This window comes from Homo sapiens, chromosome 1, assembly GCF_000001405.40.
Source record: "Homo sapiens chromosome 1, GRCh38.p14 Primary Assembly".
In the NCBI taxonomy this organism is placed as follows: domain Eukaryota; kingdom Metazoa; phylum Chordata; class Mammalia; order Primates; family Hominidae; genus Homo; species Homo sapiens.
The window spans coordinates 9863453-9883704 of NC_000001.11; the positions used below are offsets into that span (position 1 = coordinate 9863453).

Below are 20252 nucleotides of genomic sequence, written 5' to 3' on the forward strand. Positions count from 1 at the left end.
GGAGAGAGGGGACCCAGAAACCCCAGCAGATCATCCGTGTGGCACCGGGCCAGTGCAAAGGAGGGGCCCAGCCGGCTGCCCCCAAGGAGGAGCTGCTCCAGCAGCCTGGCCCTGGAAGGCGCAGTCCAGGCATCCATCCAGCAGACACCTACACTGCACCAGAGGCGGGATGGGGGACTCATGTGTGATGGTGAACACGGCACAGACCCTGGTCCCGAGGGGCTGCCAACATAAGGTGGTAAGACTGGCATGGAGCTCCAGGGCACATGCTGACTTGGAAGGGGTCAGCGAGGGCTTCATGAAGGAAGTGAAAGAACAGAGGCTGGAAGGCTGTTATGGGGGATTCCAGGAAGAACTTTCCACACTGAGCTGTAACATGGAGATCATGCCACCACCCCTAATAGGGCAGGGCCGCTGAGGGGGTCAAGGGGGTTGGTGAGCAGAGAGCTGCCTCCCTCATGCCATGCTACGAAAGGAGAGGCCGTTTCCTTACAGCCTGGTTTCTGCTGATCTACCCATGACCACAGATATTTTAACAAGGTTCCCAGTGTAACCCTCAAGCCAACTGACCTAGTTTAGGCTCTCTGGCAGCAGATCCTGAACCAGCAGCCTCAGCTTCCAAAGGGGAAAGCCTGGCTGGCCGCAGCTGGGGGAACCTTCCCTGGAAAGTGTCTTGGAGAAAGAGTGTGATCAGGTGGAGGCAGGAACAGGCCTGGGAGCCCCGGTGCCAGCACACAGCTCCCAGAGACAAGAAGGGTGGCAGCAGACCAGGGCATGGCCCCAGGAGGCCCCCAGGCAGAGAAAAAACAAGGAGCTTCCTTGACAAAATGAGCCAAGTCTAGGTCTAGGCGGGGTCCCTCTCAGCAACACCTTGACAAGGGCCTTTTCTTTTTTTAGGCCGAGTCTCGCTCTGTCGCCCAGGCTGGAGTGCAGTGGCGCGATCTCGGCTCACTGCAAGCTCCGCCTCCCGGGTTCACGCCATTCTCCTGCCTCAGCCTCCTGAGTAGCCAGGACTACAGGCGCCCGCCACCACGCCCGGCTAATTTTTTGTATTTTTAGTAGAGACGGAGTTTCACCATGTTAGCCAGGATGGTCTCAATCTCCTGACCTCGTGATCCGCCCACCTTGGCCTCCGAAAGTGCTGAGATTACAGGTGTGAGCCACCGTGCCTGGCCGGACAAGGGCCTATTCTGAGGCACTGTGGGAGGATGACAGTTCTGCGGGTGACTGGCCATGGGTGGCCTTTGCAAAGCACCATCAGAGGCCTGGAACTGTACTTGCTGGGCACCACCCCAGTGCAGTGCTGAGGCAAGAAGAGACCCGGAGCTCTCAGAGAACCAGCACATTGGAAGGCACCTATAGGTGGAGGGCCCAGGGTAAAAATGCAGCAGAAAGTGTTCCCCATTTGTTCTGCCCCTTTCTGAAATACCTAACAGCCCAAGTCATCCCTGTTCCTCAAGTAAACACTGTCCTGCTTAAAAAAGCATGTGGCTGGGCTGGGCGCAGTGGCTCATGCCTATAATCCCAGCACCTTGGGAGGCCAAGGTGGGCAGATCACGTGAGGTCAGGAGTTTGAGACAAATCTGGCCAACATGGTGAAACCCCATCCCTACTAAATATACAAAAATTAGCTGGGCATGGTGACATGCACCTGTAATCCCAGCTACCTGGGAGGCTAAGGCAAGAGAATTGCTTGAACCTGTGAGGTGGAGGTTGCAGTGAGCCAAGATAGCACCACTGCACTCCAGCCTGGGCAACAGAGTGAGACTCTGTCTCAAAAAAAAAAAAAAAAGTTTTATTGGAAATTATTTAAGAACACAGTGAAATTATCATGCGTAAAAAATGGATGTTAAAAATGGGTATTAAGGCCGGGCGCGGTGGCTCACGCCTGTAATCCCAGCACTTTGGGGGGCCGAAGCAGGTGGATCACGAGGTCAGGAGATTGAGACCATCCTGGCTAACACGGTGAAACCCCGTCTCTACTAAAAAAATATATAAAAAATTAGCCAGGCGTGGTGGCGGGCGCCTGTAGTCCCAGCTACTCAGGAAGCTGAGGCAGGAGAATGGCATGAACCCGGGAGGTGGAGTTTGCAGTGAGCCGAGACCGCACCATTGCACTCCAGCCTGGGTGACAGAGCGAGACTCTGTCTCAAAAAACAAAACAAAACAAAAAAACAACAAGAAAAAAAAACAGGTATTAAAATGTTTATGGTCCCAGCCTTGTGCTACAGATGTATGCATGTTTGTGAAAGGATGACAGGGAACTTAACAAAGGGTAAGAGTGATTACAGCTATGCAGTAGGATTCAATATTTCAAACTTTTCTGCTCTTTCTCCCTTTCCCCAGTTTTTTAAAATGACTATGCACAATTCTATAACTGGGAAAAAAATCACTACGCATTAGAGGGAGCCACACTGACCATGAGAGAAGCCTGGACTCAGCACTCCACAGGCCTGCTTCAGGAAGCTCTGGACCTCCCCATTCCTGCAGCTGCCCCTTCCCAGCAGGGCGACCTTCCTGAGAAGTACTGACTTCCTCTGGTTCAAAGCCAAGTCTCTCTGGTTTCCAGGTCTGCTTAGACACCCTTGGGGACTAGAACCCAGTTCATTTATTTGTCCAAACATGACAAACAATAAGATGGAAGCCACAGTTCCAAGCTCAAGGAGCTCAGAGCCCGGTCAATAGATGGATTAGGAGACAGTGTGGGTGTAGCACAGCTGAGGTACATGCACATGTGACAGGAGGGCCTGGCCCAGGTTGCAGGGGGCAGGGGAGTAAGGTGGGGGTGAAGGCTGGTTCCTGGCGGCCAAGAGGCAAATGCAGTGGCAGAAAGGCATGAACATGGCCATTCACTATGGCCCTTTACAGTGTGAGGTCAGGTCTTGCTCACCAAGCTAAAGGGGCTGGATTTTATCCTCAAGGCAGTGGGGAGCCACTGAATGATTTTAAGTTGGGTGGAGGCTGGGCATGGTGGCTCCCGCCTGTAATCCCAGCACTTTGGGAGGCCAAGGTGTATGGATCACCTGAAGTCAGGAGTTTGAGACCAGCCCGGGCAACATGGTGAAACCCCGTCTCTAATCAGCTGGGTGTGGTGGCGGGAGCCTGTAACCCCAGCTACTCGGGAGGCTGAGGCAGGAGAATTGCTTGAACTGGGAAGGTGGGGGCTGCAGTGAGCCGAGATCACGCCACTGCACTCCAGCCTGGGTGACAGAACAAAACTCCTTCTCAAAAAAAAAAAAAAAAGTCGAGTAGAGACCCACTAATGTCACTCTAAGCCTCCAAAAGTCTCTCCAGCTGTGGGGGTAGAGAGCAGACCTGAGGGGGCAAGATGGGAAGTCGAGATGCCAGATAGGAGTGATCTGAAGCTGTGAGACAAGAGTGAATATGGGCTCAGTCCAAGAGGGGGCTGGAAATGAGAGGGAGAGAATGAAGCAGGTCTGGGGAGCCTTAGGATGGACTCAGTAACCCATTAGGTTCCTGAGGAAGAGAGGAGTCGAGGCTGAGTCCTCGGGCGCCGTGTACTTGCTGGGCATTGGTCAGGGCAGAGCACAGGTGGAAAATCCATGTCAGCTGGGCATGGGTGGCTGTGGTGATGCTGGCCAACAGTCAGCTGGCTATGTTCTCTGTTGAGATCACAGCACTGCGTGTGGAACAGGGAGAAGAGAGGGGGCAACCCTGGAGGATGACAGCCCTGATTGAGGGAAGGGAGTGGGAAACAGCCAGTGAGGGGTGACGTGAAGGACAAGGGAGGGAAAGGAGGCTGTCATTGGTGGTCTCAGCCCAGCAGAGGCCAGGCAGGCTGGGAACTGGGGGGCCACTGGGGCCTCTGCTGGAACCACCTGGTGAGCCCGTAAGGGGAGGCCCCCACCCCAGGGTCTCCAGCACCTGCCTGGCTCCCCATAGATACTCAACAAATGTGACCGAGGAAGGAATCGAAGGGTAGGGGGTAAAGGGGTGCCCACGGCCCCCTCCCTGGGCCTCAAGTAAGGGAGCAGTGCCCCAGGTACCAGACCCATCCAGCCCTGGAGGGGAAGCATGTGCAGGGCTAAAGGTGGCGGCCAGACCCTCAGGACCAAGGTCGGGTGCTGTCCGTTGGAGGGTCTGCCTCAGACCCCCTGCTAGAGGAGTCCCGGGGTAGATGGAGCCTCCTCTGGCTCAGGGAACACCTAAAGCAGCCTGGAGCATTTGCTGAGAGACAGCGCCACCTAGTGGGCAGGAGGTGCACGCCAGGCCATTACCCACAGGCTCCAGGCCTTTGGGGTTCATTATGGCAGTCTCTGCACCCTGCTCTGGCCCCCGCATCCTGCCCCAGTCCCTGGAGACAACAATCCAGGGCTTCTTCCACCTAAGCAGTGTCTGAGCCTCTGACAGCAGGATCCTGCAGCATCAGCTGAGATTGGCTCTGCGATGGAGAAGGTGGGCAGGTGAGATTTTAACAGAGATCCATTTGCCCACATGGCACAGGCAGATGCAGGGTCCTGCCCTCACATGGGTAAGCCCAGTATGGGACTGGGCTGATTGCAGTTCTGCTGTTATTGTTGTTGTGTTTGTTTGTGGTGTCGTTAGGCTCGCAAAGAAAATAAATATGCTTATGAAACTCTTCCAGACATGGCTGACCCCTCCCCTCTCCACTCCCAGTCCACAGAATTCTCAGAACCTCCTGCAGCTCAGGTCTGTGTGGCTCAGGCCCCGGCAGCCAGGTTAGAGGTATCTTTATGGAGGTAGGGGCAGTCCACAGGGCGCCCCAGCAGCAGGGAGTGACTCCCACCACCTATTCCGCAACGATTCCCTGGGGTCTTCCCTGGCTCCAGCTTCAGCTCCAGAAGACCCCTCCCCGGAGAAAGAAGTAGCTGTGGACAGACACCACCCACCCAGAAGGGCCTGGACTCCACGGCCCACACAGTTGGTCACAGCTGCCAGCTTGCTCCTACTGCTCAGCAGTTTCAGGGCAAGGTCAACAGCTAAGTGGGGTCACTGACCTTCCTCAACAACTTGGCAGAGCTCATTTTTATTCTTAACTGTGGGTTCGGCTAGGCAAGAGTTCTCCTAAAAATATTTTTTTTAACTTTCCCTTATGACAAAGAAACAAATGTACAATGTTAAAATATTAGTTTTACAAAAATGTGTGACTTGGAAAGTTAAAGTTTCTTATATAGTCCTATCCCCTAACAATTATTATTATTATTATTTTTTGAGACAGAGTCTAGCTCTGTTGCCCAGGCTGGAGTAAAGTGGTGTGATCTTGGCTCATCGCAAGCTCCGCCTCCCAGATTCAAGCGGTTCTCCTGCCTTAATCTCCCAAGTAGCTGGGTAGCTGGGACTACTGGCACCTGCCACCATGCTCAGCTAATTTTTGTATTTTTAATAGAGACAGGATGTTGCCATGTTGGCCAGGCTGGTCTTGAACTCCTGGCCTCAGGTGATCTGCCCACCTTGGCCTCCCAAAGTGCTGGGATTACAGGCATGAACCACCACGCCCAGCACCCCTTGTCAAAAACAAAATTTCTGACAGTCTGGTATATATTCCACCAGCTTCTTTGTCTTTTAAAAATTTTTTAAATTTATGAGACAGAGTCTCCCTCTGTTGCCCAGGCTGGGGTGCAGTGGTGCGATCATGGCTCACTGCAGCATCAACCTCCTGGGCTCAAGCGATCCTCTCACCTCAGCCTCCCTAGTAGCTAGGACTACAGACGTGTGCCACCACAGCCAGCTAGTTTTTGTATTTTTTGTAGCGAGAGGGTCTCCCTATGTTGCCCAGGCTGGTCTTGAGCTCCTGGGCTCAAGCAATCCTCTTGCCATGGCCTCTCAAAGTGCTGGGATGACAGGCGTGAGCCACTGCACCTGGCCACCAGCTTTTTTTTCTATGTGCATATACAGCTTGTGTCTTGTGTGTATGTGTGTTGTTGCTGGGGTTTTGTTTTGTTTTGTTTTGTTTTTTGAGACGGAGTCTTGCTCTGCTGCCCAGGCTGGAGTGCAGCGGTGAGATCTTGGCTTCCCAAGTAGCTGGGATTACACCTGCATGCTACCATGCCCAGCTAACTTTTGTATTTTTAGTAGAGATGGGGTTTCGCCACGTTGGTCAGGCTGGTCTAGAACTCCTGACCTCAGGTGATCCACCTGCCTTGGCCTCCCAAAATGCTGGGATTACAGCTGTGAGCCACCGTACCCGGCCTGTTGCTGCTTTTTATACTGACATATGGTCCTACATTTTGATGTCTCCTATTTTGATTTTTTCCCAAGAGTATTCAACTGGAGGCTTTCTTACCATCCGAGCTCAAATTCAGGTTAACTCAGTGACCAAGACTAAGTGGGAAGGAAGGTGAGTCTCCAGGGACTCAGAAGCCTGAAGGTTTCAGGTTGACATGAGTCAGAAGCCATGGTAGAGGGTGCCATGCTAGAAACCCAGATTAGCCCTGGAAGAGAAGAGACCTCACCCAAGAGATCCCAGGATGGGGCGGGAGCCGACGCCACATAGAACAGGCTGCCGCATGATCCAGGAGGCACACCTGGGCAGACACACCCAGGCAGGTTGTGCGTGGTGAGCTGCTGTCCCAGGGAGCTGCCTGAGCCACTGCCTGGAAGGTTTCTGCTGAGTTGGGTGCACAAGCCAGGTCACACCCAGCATCGGTGCTTGGGAACAGGCCCCTGTGCCAGGACAGAGCCCTAAGACATCCAGGAGAACAAGGGCTGGCTGGTGATCTAGGTCAGGCCCCGCATGCCAGCCTCAAAGCACAGCAAACGCAGCCGTCAGCACTCTGCTTTCGGGGGCCCGCTCGCGTCTGGACATGCCACAGGTTGTAATATTTCATGGCCAATCATTCCAACAAAGCATAAAGAGAATAAAAGGAAAGGACTCTATGGAGATGCTGGTCAGAATACTAGGCCTCTGTGTCATGAGAAGCCTTCTAGAGAAGGAGAACCTTGCTGAGCAGCCAAGGGACATGGAGCTGTCCAGTAGCCATGTGGGTTATGGGCAAGATGGCAGACAGTGAAGCGCTCCTCAGCCACAGGTGTACATCCCGGGACTCCCCAGTAACCACCTGGCTGCATGACCAAGTGGCTTACTGTTCCCAAATCCCAGTTTCCTTGCCTGTTAAGTGGAAGTATTAATAATACAAATAGTAGCTACCTACAATAGAATGAAACAACGGTGCCTGCTACACAACAAACACTCACATCCTGCCTGTTACCATGCTGACTTGTTGAGGTCACCCCAAAAAGACAGAACTCCCTCAGGCGCACGGAGACATCAGGCCTTTGGGGCATTCCTCCTGGCCACAGCCAGGACCACACCAGCCACAATGTGGTCTGTGCTCAGGACAACAGTGACAGCATTGTTCTAGCACACAAGGGCAGTTTCTCTCTCCTGGACAGGGTGCTGGGTGGGTAGGGGTCAGGCCAAAGGTTAAAGAAATGCAATAATCAGTCTCTGCAGTTATGAGCGCCCCCAGACATCTCCATTTCCTGCCTCTTCCAGGCCTTAGAAAGGGATCCTGCCATTTGTCTTGTAGAGTCTTTGGCTCCCACCTGAGGAAGGAGATGGGATCAGGTGGGAGGCTCCGAAGGTTTCCTGGCTCAGCTCTGTGGGTGGAGAGAGCTGTAGCCCCTCCTAGTCAGCCCTGGGTCTCATGGATCACCCATCAAAGAGGGCTGGAGCTACGCTTTCTAAGGGAACCACAAGTCGGTGCCCCTGGGACTTGTGCCACTGCCCCAGCCCCTCTGCCGCCAACTCACCCTGGTCGATGGAGTGCGGAGGCAGCTGGCTGAGCTGGCTGTTGACCACCCCTGCATAGGTGCGCAGGAACTCCTCCTCGCTGGCTGTCAGCTGCAGGGTGAGAGAGCTGTGGTGAGGGGCAGCATGCACCTGTTCCCTGAAAGGCACCTGCACCCCTAGAGGCACCGCCTAGGCCTGCTTGGTCCCTGCTTGGTCCCTGCTCGGGCTTCTGTTTCTGAGATTTGACCCCTTTGCTTTCAGGGCCAGCCCACCCCACTCCCACCCTCCTTAAACTTGGTCCAGGGGTCCAAAGCCTTTGCCACTCAGACTGAATCTGAGATTAAGGTCTGTTCTAGTATAGGGCCAGTGGAAGACACAAGTCCTGCCCGGAAGGCTGAGGGGCGATTCCATGTCCCTCCACTCTTTTTGAGAAATACCCCTGCACATGCATGCCTGCTGCCCCCTCAGCTCCTGTCCTGACAAGTTGTCCCTGAGCTGCCCCCTGGGAGAGAAGACTTTCGGGCTTGTGAGGGGGAGAAAAGGAAGGTCAGGGCCTTGAGACCCTCACCCGCCTGGCCCCAATCCGGCAGTGTCGGGTGTCCCCAGAACTTGACGTGCTGGGCTCTGTGCCTAGGGGGCCAGAAGCAGCCCTAGAGCCAAGCCACAGGCCCAGCGGCCCCTCCTCAGCCCGTGGCTCCGCAGGAGGCAGCCGCAGTGGCTCCACCCTCCAATAGCCCAGCAGGGCCCCTCCCTGGGAGACCCTCCCTGGGGGCCCGCTGCCTGACACCCCACAGGCACTCACGTTTGATCCCATCTTCCGCAGCATGAGCAGCACTCGGACCTTCTGCTGAATGTACATCTCCTCCGGACTCTTCCCGGGAGCTCCCTCGCGGTTCATCCCCCTGCCTGGCTCTGGGGACTCCTGCAGAGCAAGCAACAGCATCAAAAGGGAAGAGATCAGGATGTGACATACTGGGACAATGACACCTGCTAGTGACCCTCACTCCTCCCAGGAGCCGCTTTCCACCCACAGTCTCCCTTCTGGGAGCATGGGGCAGGTGGCGAGGTGCTGGGTTCCTTTCTCACCCATGCTGGTCCCAGCAGGCTGAACTGAGCAGCTCTGTTCTCCAGCAGGCGCTGCAAGGGCTGGCCTGCCTGCTGCCTCTGTGCATGAAGCTGCTGCGTCCAGGAAAACTGAGATGACCTGGACTGCTGGTTGTTTCTACCTGTGAATCACCCCAGAGCAAAGCTCCTGCTACAAGCCACAGGACACGTGGTGCATGAAGCCCCAAATGTCCCAGGTTTTCAGAACAACTTCCACAAGGGGCAAAAAAGTGATGGGATCAGAGGCAACTGGTTAGGGCCTTTGGCTCGAGAAACTGTGAGATCAGTGCCCAGCCCCCAAACACTGAGACAGCTCCCTCGGCAAAAGCCCCTGACAAGTTTAAGAGGCCAGGGTTGTGGCTCCTGGGCTGGGCTCCAAGGGGTCCCTTGATGGAAAGACGCTGGCCCAGGGTTGCAGGGCTTGCTACCTCAGCCCTCACAAACCCACCCCACCTGTCAGAGGGTAGCTCCTGCAGGCAGCTGGGAAGGCCAGCAGCGTGTCCACATGCAGCAGGGACCTAACCTGTAGAAAGTCCCCAGGAGAGAAGTCCAGAGCCCCCTCCCTCCAGGAGGAGCTGGAGGAGAGGAAGCTGGGTATGGAGGGGCTTGGGTTACACACTGGTAACTCCTGGATGAGTCAGAAATAACGCAGCAGCTGCTGGGGTGGAGCCTTATCAGCCCTGGTGCCAAGGAACTGCGCTCGGAGAACCACGGAACCAAGCTGGCAGGCCAAGAACACTCCTCACACCATCCATCCCTCCAGGACCAGCAAACCCTGGACCAGCGGGCTTTCCCAGGCAGGGTGGCTCTCTGTGCAGAGGGCAGCCTCAGCAATGTGCCAGAGCCCGGGCAGCAGCCTCCCTGTAGGTACTTGTCAACTGCTCATTCCCCATAAGCTAATGGGGCCCTCATCCTAAAAGTGCACACAATAAGCTAATAGCAGCTGCATGCTGGATGCGGCATAGGTCTCTTTCCAGCAACTTCTGCTAAACCCCTACAGCCCAGACTCTATTACTCTGTCTGCTCCCCTTCCACCTCCTCCTGGGCCCAGAAAATGGCCTAAGTGATAACTGGGAGCTAGGAAAGAGGAGTAAACTGCCTCAGGAATGGTCTCTGATGAGAAGGACCCCCAGCCACTCCCCAGGGCCAGGCTGCGTCCCAGCATGGGGAAGGCCATAATTTCCTGTGCAGCTGAGCAGGGAAGCTCTGTTCTGGGGTATCACTCCTCGCACTGACCCATTCTCACTTCCTTCCACTTCACTAGATGTGGAGCACTGCCAATCTGGAGCTGGACTCCACACAGCCTTGTGGGGTGAACCTTGCACCCCGAACCTGGGTGTGGATGATGATGCGGTCTCCACCTCTTCCCCAGTGGCCACCTGGATCTGGGTTACTATGTAACCTCCTCATGATCCCCCTACTTCCTTTCTTGTCCTTTTCTCTACACAATAGCCAGAATGATCTTATTATTGATTATTTTTTGACACAGGGTCTCCCTCTGTCGCCCAGGCTGGAGTGTAGTGGCGCGATCATAGCTCACTGCTGCCTCAACCTGCTGGGCTTTAGCAATCCTCCCAACTCAGCCTCCTGAGTAAGCTAGGGCCACAGGTGCACATCACCACGCTTGGCTAATTTAAAAACATTTTTTTGTAGAGACAGGGTCTTGCTATGTTGCCCAGGCTGGTCTCAAACTCCTGGGCTCAAGTGATCCTCCCACCTCATCCTCCCCAAAACAGATGATATCACTCCTACCTTAAACCTACCTGAGAATGCATCTCATAATCCTTGCCAAGACCCTGCCAGGGCTCCGCTGTCAGCCCTGCCTCCCTCTCCAGCCTGTCTCTTCTTCCTCTTCCCCTTGCTCTGCCTTCCTGGCACTCGTCCGTTCTAGAACATGCGGAGAAGCTCTTTCCCTCTGGCAGCCTTTGTACTGGGTGTCCCCTAAGCCAGGAACTGGCTTCTTTCCATCCTTTGTCTTGGTGTAAAGGCACCTTCCTAGGGAAGCCTTCCCTGGCAGTTGCTCTGGTGCCCAGGAGTACAGTGGTATGATCAGAACTCACTGCAGCCCTGAACTCCTGGGCTTAAGCGATCCTCCTGCCTCAGCCTCCTAACTAGCTGGGACCACAGAAGCATGCCACAACACCCTGCCACTTTTAAATTTTTTTGTAGAGGTCTTGTTATGTTGCACAGCCAGGTTGGTCTCAAATTCCTGGTCTCAAGCAATCCTCCTGCCTTGGTCTCCCAAAATATTGGAATTAACAGGCATGAGCCACCATGCCCGCCTGTCCTGATTTTCTGAAAGTGCCCTGTTGGAGAACTTGCTTATTGTCTCTGCCCACTGCCCACTGCCAAGGCCAGGGCCCCCTCTGCTGTGCTCACCCCTGTCCTCCGGGAGACTAGCACTTGGCAGGCACTTAATAAATACTGCCCGCTTGGCTAAATGGAATAGTGAAACAGCCTGTGGTGTCTGAGCTTCTCCCACTCTGCAATATCCACACCCATCTAGGCCCAAATGTCATTGTGTTAAGAGACCAAGTACCTAACCCAGTCTCCCATAACCAAATTTAGCTTTTCCAAAGGACTCACACTTTCAAAGTAGTGGGCCTTGGGCTATTGTGTTCTCCAAAGAACATCTGAAATGCTCCGTAAAGCCTTTGAGCTGGGAGTTAGGGCTTCCAAGAGTAAAAACCTTCCAATTCTGTCCTGTGCCTAAGGGCTAGTTTTCATTTGCTCTCTCCTGGTGAGAGACAGGGTGAAATACAAGGACCTGGCCACTAGGTGTCGCCAAACACAAAAGCGCCAGCGTTGCTTCCTCCCCACCCCCAGCAGGTTCTCCCAGGGCCCCAGACCACCCGGTTCGAGCCGACCAGTCCTTAGCCGACGTGGGAAGCAGATCACTCCTGCTCTGGCTCTCCCTATTCCAATCGTACTATCACAAACCACACTCCAGCCCCGGGTCCCAGGGCAAGATCTATTTATTCATTCAGAGAGCCACCCCTGCCCAGGGAAGGACTGGTGTCTGGTTTTTGCCGCCGCATCCACCCAGGAGCCAGTGGTCCAGGTACACAGTAGGTGCTTCCCAGAGGAGCGTCAGTTCCATATCAAAGACTGCTTCCATCACAGACCGCCTCCATGGGGCCGGCTTTACAGAATGTTGCCCTGTCCAACAAGCCTTCTATGAACAGCTCGCACTGATAGGTGCCGCCCCGTCTTCCCGGCTGGTGCAGCCTCGCCGTCCCGGGGACACCTCACACTGGGATTCCTAGGGCTTGGGCTGCCCAGCTGTGGGCCTGCGGTGTCGTCTGCGCCTGCATTTTGGAGCCAGGCTACTCCTGCTTCAACTCACTTCCCTGCAAGAGACAGTTCTTCTCGCTACAGAGAAGACCCTTGACTTGTCTTTTCTAAAAAGCGTGGTCATGGAGAATTCTTCCAGCTCTAGTTTGAGCTGATTCCGCCCTGCTGCCTAACAAGAGGGCACACTCAGGGCTGGATCTGGAGCAGAAATGCAGCCAGGAGCACATGTTCCCACCCTTCCCATTCCAACCCAAACAGAAACACCGTGACTGGCTTACATAATTCTCTCCTCTGCAGTAAGGGTGTCAGTGTGGAGCAAACTCATAATTGGAGAGAATAAATCATAATCAACCCAAACAATACAGACATTTCAGTCATGGTGCTCAACGAGTATATTAAAGTATGTCTCTGTTTGTTGCCTATACAAGCAAACGTGCTATTATATTTTTATCACAATTCTGACAAGCATCAGATTCATTTCACTTGAGAAATCTTATTTTCCCCTGTAGGGATCAAAAACTGGTCTCCATTAAACTATGTTTAAATTACATAAACTAAAACTGCAACTAAATTAGACACACTAATTATTCATCCAGTCCTTGAACGTGAGAACCAAAAGTAATGATGGTTCTCAATTATGGTCTCTTGGCTATTCCCATAAACATTCCAGCGTCTAAAATGGGGTGGCGCTTCCACTCCAAATCCTAAGAAAATTTCTATTAGCTGCCCAAGTCAGAGGTAAGCCAAAAAAAGGAAAATGAAAAGAAACAGGCCAGGCACAGTGGCTCATGCCTGTAATCCCAGCACTTTAGGAGGCCGAGGCGGGCAGATCACCTGAGGTTAAGAGTTTGAGACTAGCCTGGCCAACATGGTGAAACCCAGTCTCTATAAAAAATACAAAAAATTAGCTGGGCGAGGTGGCAGACACCTGTAATCCCAGCTACTCGGAGACCGAGGCAGGAGAATCGCTTGGACCTGGGAGGCGGCAGTTGCCTGGAGCCAAGATCATGCCACTGCACTCCAACCTGAGCGACAGAGTGAGACTCCATTTCAAAAAACAAAAACAATAAAACAGAAAAGAAACAACAGGCAACTATTAACTATCCAAATGAATGGTGAAGGGACAGGTCCATGGTTATTTATTATGTAGTAGGCAACCACACATTCTGCAAAAAGTGGGTGCCATCCCAGAAAATGACATCTGATTGGGGCAAATACAATGAAAAGACATTAAGGTACATACCTTCAATTTAGACACAGAGACACACTCCTGCTATACATACACACACACACACACACACACACACACACACACACACACACACAGTTCAGAGCTGCCTCTCTGTTGAAGGAAGCTTGGCTGGTCAGGAAAGGATGGTGAGGAAGTGGCTCCTGACCACTGTGAAAGGTCCACACAACGGGAGAACTGGCCTTGGCTCCACAGGCCACAACACGTTCTCAGGGAAACACCCAAGGGCATCTGTAAGAGGCACGCTCAGATGCCACACTTCTTCCCAGCCTTTGCAGGGACCTAATCTCGACCACCATGTAATCTCCAGCATTTAAGCAGTTGATCTCACTTTAGAAGAATTAGGAGGTAGTGCAAGAGGGACCTGGAGAACAAGACTGCTGAAAGTCACATGCGGCAGTTGGAGGCTGGACGGCTGTGGCTCCCTGTATGGGTCTCTGTCTGGGAAATGCAACCCATTCTAATAAAGAGCTTTGAAAGCTGGCCTCGCTTTGACAGGCACGAGTGGCCCTGAATACAAACACAGCCACCTGCACTCCTTTTTATTTTTAAACTGGAAGCTAATGCTCTTGAACATCCACATTTATCTATGTTAGAATATTCACTTATACCCAGGGCGGTCTTGCACCTGCTAGGAAGATGTCAAGTAAGCTCAGGCGAGGCCAGGGAGCAAAGCTGCTCCTTCAGACACATGAGCTGCCTCCAGCCCCTGCACTCGTCTTTTGTTTTGTCCATTTTAAAACACATTGTGATAGATTCTAATACATTTAAAAATGTACAATTTACACTTTCATGATGTTTACATTGCAAAAAAATACAATGCCATAGAATTGGTGGTTCCTAGAGCTTATATGAAATATTATCCAGAATCTGTACATGTCTTAGCCTAAAAGAAATCAGCAGCACCCTAACATTCTCCAGAAGACCCAACACATCTGGAGAAATGAGCATCATTGGGGCTCACGGTGAAAGGTAACAGATGAGCTAACTTCATGATCAGCCCTGGAGCCTGGCGTCCAATAGGACTCCTCACCCCCCACCCCACACTACTGTATGGCCACATTACAGAGTCCTTCCCCTGGGGGCCTTACCTGCTTCTGGAAATTAACTTCAGGCAAACAGGTGCTCAACTGTGAGGGGAGGGCTGTGGCTGGGCAGAAGTAGGAAGGTGCCGCCCTGCAGAAACACAGAACACAGGTTGTGGGAGGAGTCGGGAGGGCCCAGGCAGCTGCCAGGGCTGGGCCTGGAGCACACGCCCCATGCTGAGGATGCACAACCGCTGGCGGGAAGCTCATGGAGCTGGGTTCTGCCGTGGTCCAGAAATACCTGTGTGTCTGGCAAGCCCAGGAAACCTGCACCCACACCTCTGGGATAAATAAGGTGCTGAAGGCAGCTCAGCTGGCCTGGCATTTCCGGCCGAAGCAGGTCAGTCCGCTCAACACCACACCCCCTGCTCCCCTTGGCTTAGTCACCAAGTCTAATTGAGACGCTGTGTTCAGAGACACTGTGGACCAGAATGCATCACTCCAGGAAAGTTGATGGCCAAGTTCTGCACCTGCACAAGAGAATGCCCCACCTACCAAATCTAACATGACAAGTGAGGCACAGGTAGCTCAGCACCCCGCAGCCTCTGTGCTCAGTGCATGTATATGTGTCTGTGTGCTTCAGTTGTGCACCTAAACATCAACTAACACACATGCTAGAAACACACGAAAAGCACAGTCGCAGCTTGTTCACAGACCTACAGCCTAGCCACATGTCTACGTGCCCCCAATACACCTCTGGCAGGAATCTCAGAACACTGCCTTCTTTTCTTCTGCCTCCTACACAGGAGCTCATCGTTCAGGTCACCTGCACAGGTTAATGGAGCAAGAGCATGGATTGCCGAGTGGGCGGAGACACAGGAGAAGCAGGAGGCTGTGAGGGGCGCTGGGAGCCTTGCCCACCCGCTCCAGCTGCACCACCTGCTCTGCTGGGGTGCAAGACCCAGTACCTCACATCTCCAAGGCATGTATCAATCATCCCAATAAATGGTGAGGGCACAGGTCTGTGGTTATATATTATGCGGTAGACAACCACGTTCTGTAAAAGGTGCGTAATTTTGCCAGGCGCGGTGGCTCACACCTGTAATCCCAGCACTTTGGGAGGCCGAGACAGGTGGATCACAAGGTCAGGCGTTCGAGACCAGCCTGGCCAACATAGTGAAACCCTGTATCTACTAAAAATACAAAAAATTAGCTGGACGTGGTGGCGGGCGCCTGTAATCCCAGCTACTTGGGAGGCTGAGGCAGGAGAATCGGTTGAACCTGGGAGGCAGAGTTTGCAGTGAGCTGACATCGCGCCACTACACTCTAGCCTGGGGAACAGTGTGAGACTCCATCTCAAAAAAAAAAATGGGTGCTTTTACACCCACTTTTACTACCCACTCTTCTACTACCACAGGGCTCTCCGCTGTCAGCCCTGTAGTGGGGGAAAGGCTGCCAGACAACACTTTGAGAAACTGGTTCTGAGAGAGGTGCGGGGCCAATGACAGCTTGGAAACCCACTGTCTTCAATGAATTCTGAAAAGAAAGTTGCTCGATGACCCAAGGGGCTGAGGAAGACATGTTTTCCAGAGAAAGCGGGATTTCAAAAGCCTCCCCTAAAGTCAGACATCGCTGTAAACCTCTGACTCTCTGTTCTGTGTGTCCCTTTAACCAGCACTGGCCCTGGGATAGGAGAGCTGTCACCCACCACTGCCACCGCCTCCACCGTCAGACTAACCCTACGGGAATAGGCCATTTATAGCAATTAATTGCTCTTTTATTCCTCTAGATATCAAAGCACCAAAATACCAAGGAACCCTGGGGAACTTTCCACCCAAGTCCCCACATTCTTTCAAAAAGAGATGAAAAGAGTGAAAAGAGAGCCTTCCTCTACTTCTGAAGGGCTTTAATTTCTTCTACTACCATGACAGCCAATTATCATTCCCGTCTACAGGGCTCAGACCCTTCCAAGAAGCAGAGGGGAACACTGTATTCCTGACTTCCAGGGAAGGGGTCAAAGGATAGGGACTGTCCAGGGATTCACGGACAGCTGTTCTATTTGTCATTTAATTTTTTATTTTATTTTTTGCTAACCAAACAGCAGCATATTTGCCATTTTAAAAATATTTATTTATTTTTTACTTTAAGTTCCGGGATACATGTGCAGAACGTGCAGGTTACACAGGTATGTACGCATGTGCCATGGCGGTTTGTGGCACCTATCAACCCGTCACCTAGGTTTTAAGATTCGCATGCATTAGGTATTTGTCTTAATGCTCTCCCTCCCCTTGCCCCCAGCCCCCCAACAGGCCCCGGTGTGTGTTGTTCCCCTCCCTGTGTCCATGTATTCTTATTGTTCAACTCCCACTTATGAGTGAGAACATACGATGTTTGGTTTTCTGTTCCTGTGTTAGTTTGCTAAGAATGATGGCTTCCAGCTTCATCCATGTCCCTGCAAAGGACACGATCTCATTCTTTTTTATGGCTGCATGGTATTCCACAGTGTATATGTGCCACATTTTCTTTATCCAGTCTATCATTGATGGGCATCTGGGTTGGTTCCAAGTCTTTGCTATTGTAAATAGTGCTGCAATAAACATAAGTGTGCATGTGTCTTTATAGTGGAATGATTTATAATCCTTTGGGTATATACCCAGTAATGGGATTGCTGGGTCAAGTGGTATTTCTGGTTCTAGATCCTTGAGGAATTGCCACACTGTCTTCCACAATGGGTTGAACTAATTCACACTACTACCAACAGCGTGAAAGCGTTCCTATTTCTCCACAGCCTCGCCAGCATTTATTGTTTCCTGATGTTTTAATAATCACCTATATTTGTCATTTTTATAGTCAGGTCAATGTTCCCAGTTTACAGAGGAAGAAACTGAGGCTCAAAGTCCCTGGACCCCAGGGCCCATCCATGTAAGACAGTAAGCACGCTCCAATAACTAGATTCAGTTTTCAGTTCTGCTCTGTCACTGATTGGTTGTGCACCGTGAGGCCAGTGATTGCTCTTCTGTGCACTTCATTTCACCACCTGTAGAAAGGAGATAGATCGTGACCTCTATCACGTCTTCCCTCAGTGGAGGTGAGACTAGGGCTGGCTTCCTGGGCCTGAGGCCTGGACAGTCACACATGGCCTGCATTCAGGAGGGCCCCATGCTTGGTTTACTGTTCTACTCTCACCATCTTTAAATTCTTTTTTTTTCTTTTGAGAGAGAGGGTCTTGCTCTGTTGCTCCAGCTGGAGTACAGTGGTGCAATCATGGCTCACTGCAGCCTTGAACTCCCTAGCTCAAGCAATCCACCCACCTCAGCCTCCTGCATGGCTGAACCACAGGCATGCACCACCATATCCGGCTAATTTTTATATTTTTTGTAGCGACAGGTTCTCATGATGTTGCCCAGGGTGGTCTTGAACTCCTGGGCTCAAGCAATCCTCCCACCTCCGCCTCTTATTACAGGCATGAGCCACCACACCCAGCCTTGAAATTTTTTTTTTTTTTTTTTTTTTTTTTGAGAATGGAGTTTCTCTCTTATTGCCCAGGCTGGAGTGTAATGGCACGATCTCAGCTCACTGCAACCTCCGCCTCCCAGGTTCAAGCCATTCTCTTCCCTCAGCCTCCCGAGTAGCTGGGATTACAGATGCCCGCCACCACACCCGGCTATTTTTTGTATTTTAAGTAGAGACGGATTTCACCATGTTGGCCAGGCTAGTTTCAAACTCCTGACCTCAGGTGATCCGCCCGCCTCAGTCTCCCAAAGTGCTGGGATTATAGGCATGAGCCACCACGCTGGGCCCCAGCCTTGAAATTTTTAATAATTTCTGAACAAGGGGGCTTGCACTGAGCCCTGCAAATGATACAGCTGGTCTAGAATGAGAAAAAGAAGGTCAAGATGCTTCTCAAACTGCCAAGGGTTCCACAACCTTAAGTAGACACTAAATGGACTCAAGAAGGATTTACTGAAACTTTTCTAGGTACACACAGCCCTGAACCAGGCTTGGGGAGCACAAGGTACAGAACTGGGGCCGTGACACTGAGCCTGCATTCCAGTTGACTGAGTGGCTGAGGAAACCACACAACACAAGGCAAAGAGAAAACCACACAAATAATACATGATAATGAGCCAAAAAGATATGTTAGGTCAAGACACAAACCCTCCTACAGTGCCAACCACATATTATGTACTGTGCCAAGCATCTCCCCTGAGGAAAGAAGACCCAGGGCCTTAAGCCAGCATAGGAAGTGGCAGAGCAAAGGGGTGTAGTGAGCTCTGCAGGAAGGCAGGGGAGAGGCTGGCTGCCAATGGCTCCAGGGAGAAGTCACTGGAGCTGGGCCTTGAAGGATGAACAGGAGTTTGCTGGTAGAGAGAAAGGGGAAGGCACAAGACACAGAAGTTCAGCGAACAATTACTGAGCATCTATTCTACGGCAGGCATTGAGAATACACAGGTGAGCAAAAGAGCCACGGCTCACATGTGATGAGAGGCTTCCAATGAGCAGGGGGAGACAGACACCAGTCAAGTCACCCAGATCAATGATCTCAGACACTGAGACAAAGAACATGAAGGTTAAGTTTGAGTCGCCTCGGGGATGTGCGGCTGGGAGCCTGGAGGAGAAGGAGGAGTTGGTAGGGGTGGCATACACGTAGGAAGGCCCGAAGCAGGAAGAGTTGTGGCTTAGGCCAAGTTAGAGCTGGACCACAGGGGCACTCAGTGGGAGGGGAAGAGGTGTTTCAGCAGAAGGAAGTCAAGCCTCAGCTTGAAAAGACCACTGTGGCCAAGGTGTGGAGCAGAGGCTGGGGTGGAGCAGCAGGAAGCAGGAGAGGAGGGGGAGCAGCCAGGCAGGGGCTTGGTTGGGTAGAGAAGAGCCAGGAGGAGTGTAAGAGTGGGGCTGTGGCTGTGGCTGTGGGGAGAGGCCTGGCACATGTCCAGGGTGAGGCCCCAAAGGACAGGCTGGACAGCTGGGACTGAGAAGCCCATGGAGGCGCAAAAGCAGAGGAATGGCACAAGTGCACGTGCCCTTGGGATCAAGTCAGCACTACGGTGAACATTTGCAGAGGGTTCCAGGGCCAGAATCGAAACACGGTGACAAGCTAGTTCCGGGAAACATCAGGGGCACTTCTGGGGGCTACTTGGCCTGGAGTGAGAATGGGGGGCCTCAGGAAGAAAACACGTGCAAGCACGGGTGGGGCAGCCGCAGGGCAGGGGGCTCCTTCTGTGGGCACGCAGAGCCAGAGCAGTCAGGAACAGCGGGTGCCTGGGTGGCAGCAGCGGGACGGCGCAGGAGGGTAGGTCAGGGACCGGGGGAGCCTCTCTCTGGAAGGAAGTCCAACCTGCCAAGCGGAGGGCATTGGGCCCTGGTCAGGAGATGACTCGGGCAGAGTGGTCTCCCAGGAAGACCGGAGTCTGGGTGGATTCATGTGAAGCCCTGTGTGAGATGTGTGGAAGGGCAGGTGGGACACCACAGGCAGGACCTCACGAGGCCCAGGTGCAGGGCAGAGAGGGAGCAAGAACAGTGAGAGCTGCTCCCGAGAGGCAGGAACCAGTGGGTTTTCTATGAAGGAGGCAGAGCAGGGCAGGGGAGAGGTCCACCTGCCCCATCCCATGTCTACTCAGGCCCCACAGGCTCCTGTCCCCATCACAGCCCTCACTAAGCATGGGACTGCCCCCCATGCACATGCTCCAACAGGACAGGGGCTGCTTCAGTAGCTGTAACAACCCCATGCCAGCCTGATCCAGCACCTGGTGTGTGGCATGGCAGGCCCACAAGGAGAGCAGGGAGGATGAGTGGCTTCTGCTCTTCTTCCTCTGCCTAGAAACCCTTTCCCTCCCTCCTCATGGTCCTCCTGGAACTCAGTACTCAC

General features: G+C 52.8%; 1 protein-coding gene and 1 long non-coding RNA gene across 8 annotated transcripts in view, besides 4 other annotated features; both read right to left on the reverse strand.

The window, feature by feature from the left end:
* Positions 1-20252, reverse strand: part of CTNNBIP1 (catenin beta interacting protein 1) — a 61994-nt gene that overhangs the window by 15177 nt on the left and 26565 nt on the right. For 5 of the 7 annotated variants that reach the window (NM_001012329.2, NM_020248.3, XM_047425762.1 and 2 more), the window contains 3 exons: positions 14453-14537; positions 8517-8636; positions 7735-7825 (listed from right to left, as the gene is read on the reverse strand). In NM_001012329.2, coding sequence (NP_001012329.1) covers positions 7735-7825; positions 8517-8612 — 187 coding nt within the window. In that variant the 5' untranslated portion in view covers positions 8613-8636; positions 14453-14537. Of the gene's footprint in view, positions 1-7734; positions 7826-8516; positions 8637-8800; positions 8941-10581; positions 10706-14452; positions 14538-20252 lie in introns of those variants that run through there. The other 2 variants (XM_047425770.1, XM_047425766.1) reach the window with 2 other exon arrangements.
* Positions 7902-8830: an enhancer, noted in NCBI's record as "H3K4me1 hESC enhancer chr1:9931412-9932340 (GRCh37/hg19 assembly coordinates)". NCBI's record gives its function as "activates a minimal SCP1, AML or CMV promoter by ChIP-STARR-seq in naive H9 embryonic stem cells {active_cell/tissue: H9 hESC(naive)}" and the evidence as "EXISTENCE:reporter gene assay evidence [ECO:0000049][PMID:30033119]".
* Positions 8831-9758: an enhancer, noted in NCBI's record as "H3K4me1 hESC enhancer chr1:9932341-9933268 (GRCh37/hg19 assembly coordinates)". NCBI's record gives its function as "activates a minimal SCP1, AML or CMV promoter by ChIP-STARR-seq in naive H9 embryonic stem cells {active_cell/tissue: H9 hESC(naive)}" and the evidence as "EXISTENCE:reporter gene assay evidence [ECO:0000049][PMID:30033119]".
* Positions 11504-11703: a silencer, noted in NCBI's record as "silent region_236". NCBI's record gives its function as "represses an Ori minimal core promoter by ATAC-STARR-seq in GM12878 lymphoblastoid cells {active_cell/tissue: GM12878}" and the evidence as "EXISTENCE:reporter gene assay evidence [ECO:0000049][PMID:35858748]".
* Positions 16495-20246, reverse strand: LOC124903838 (uncharacterized). Its single transcript, XR_007065456.1, has 2 exons — positions 19722-20246; positions 16495-17423 (listed from the first exon to the last, which is right to left on the reverse strand). It is a non-coding gene; the product is annotated as an uncharacterized LOC124903838 (long non-coding RNA).
* Positions 17527-17576: an enhancer, noted in NCBI's record as "active region_140". NCBI's record gives its function as "activates an Ori minimal core promoter by ATAC-STARR-seq in GM12878 lymphoblastoid cells {active_cell/tissue: GM12878}" and the evidence as "EXISTENCE:reporter gene assay evidence [ECO:0000049][PMID:35858748]".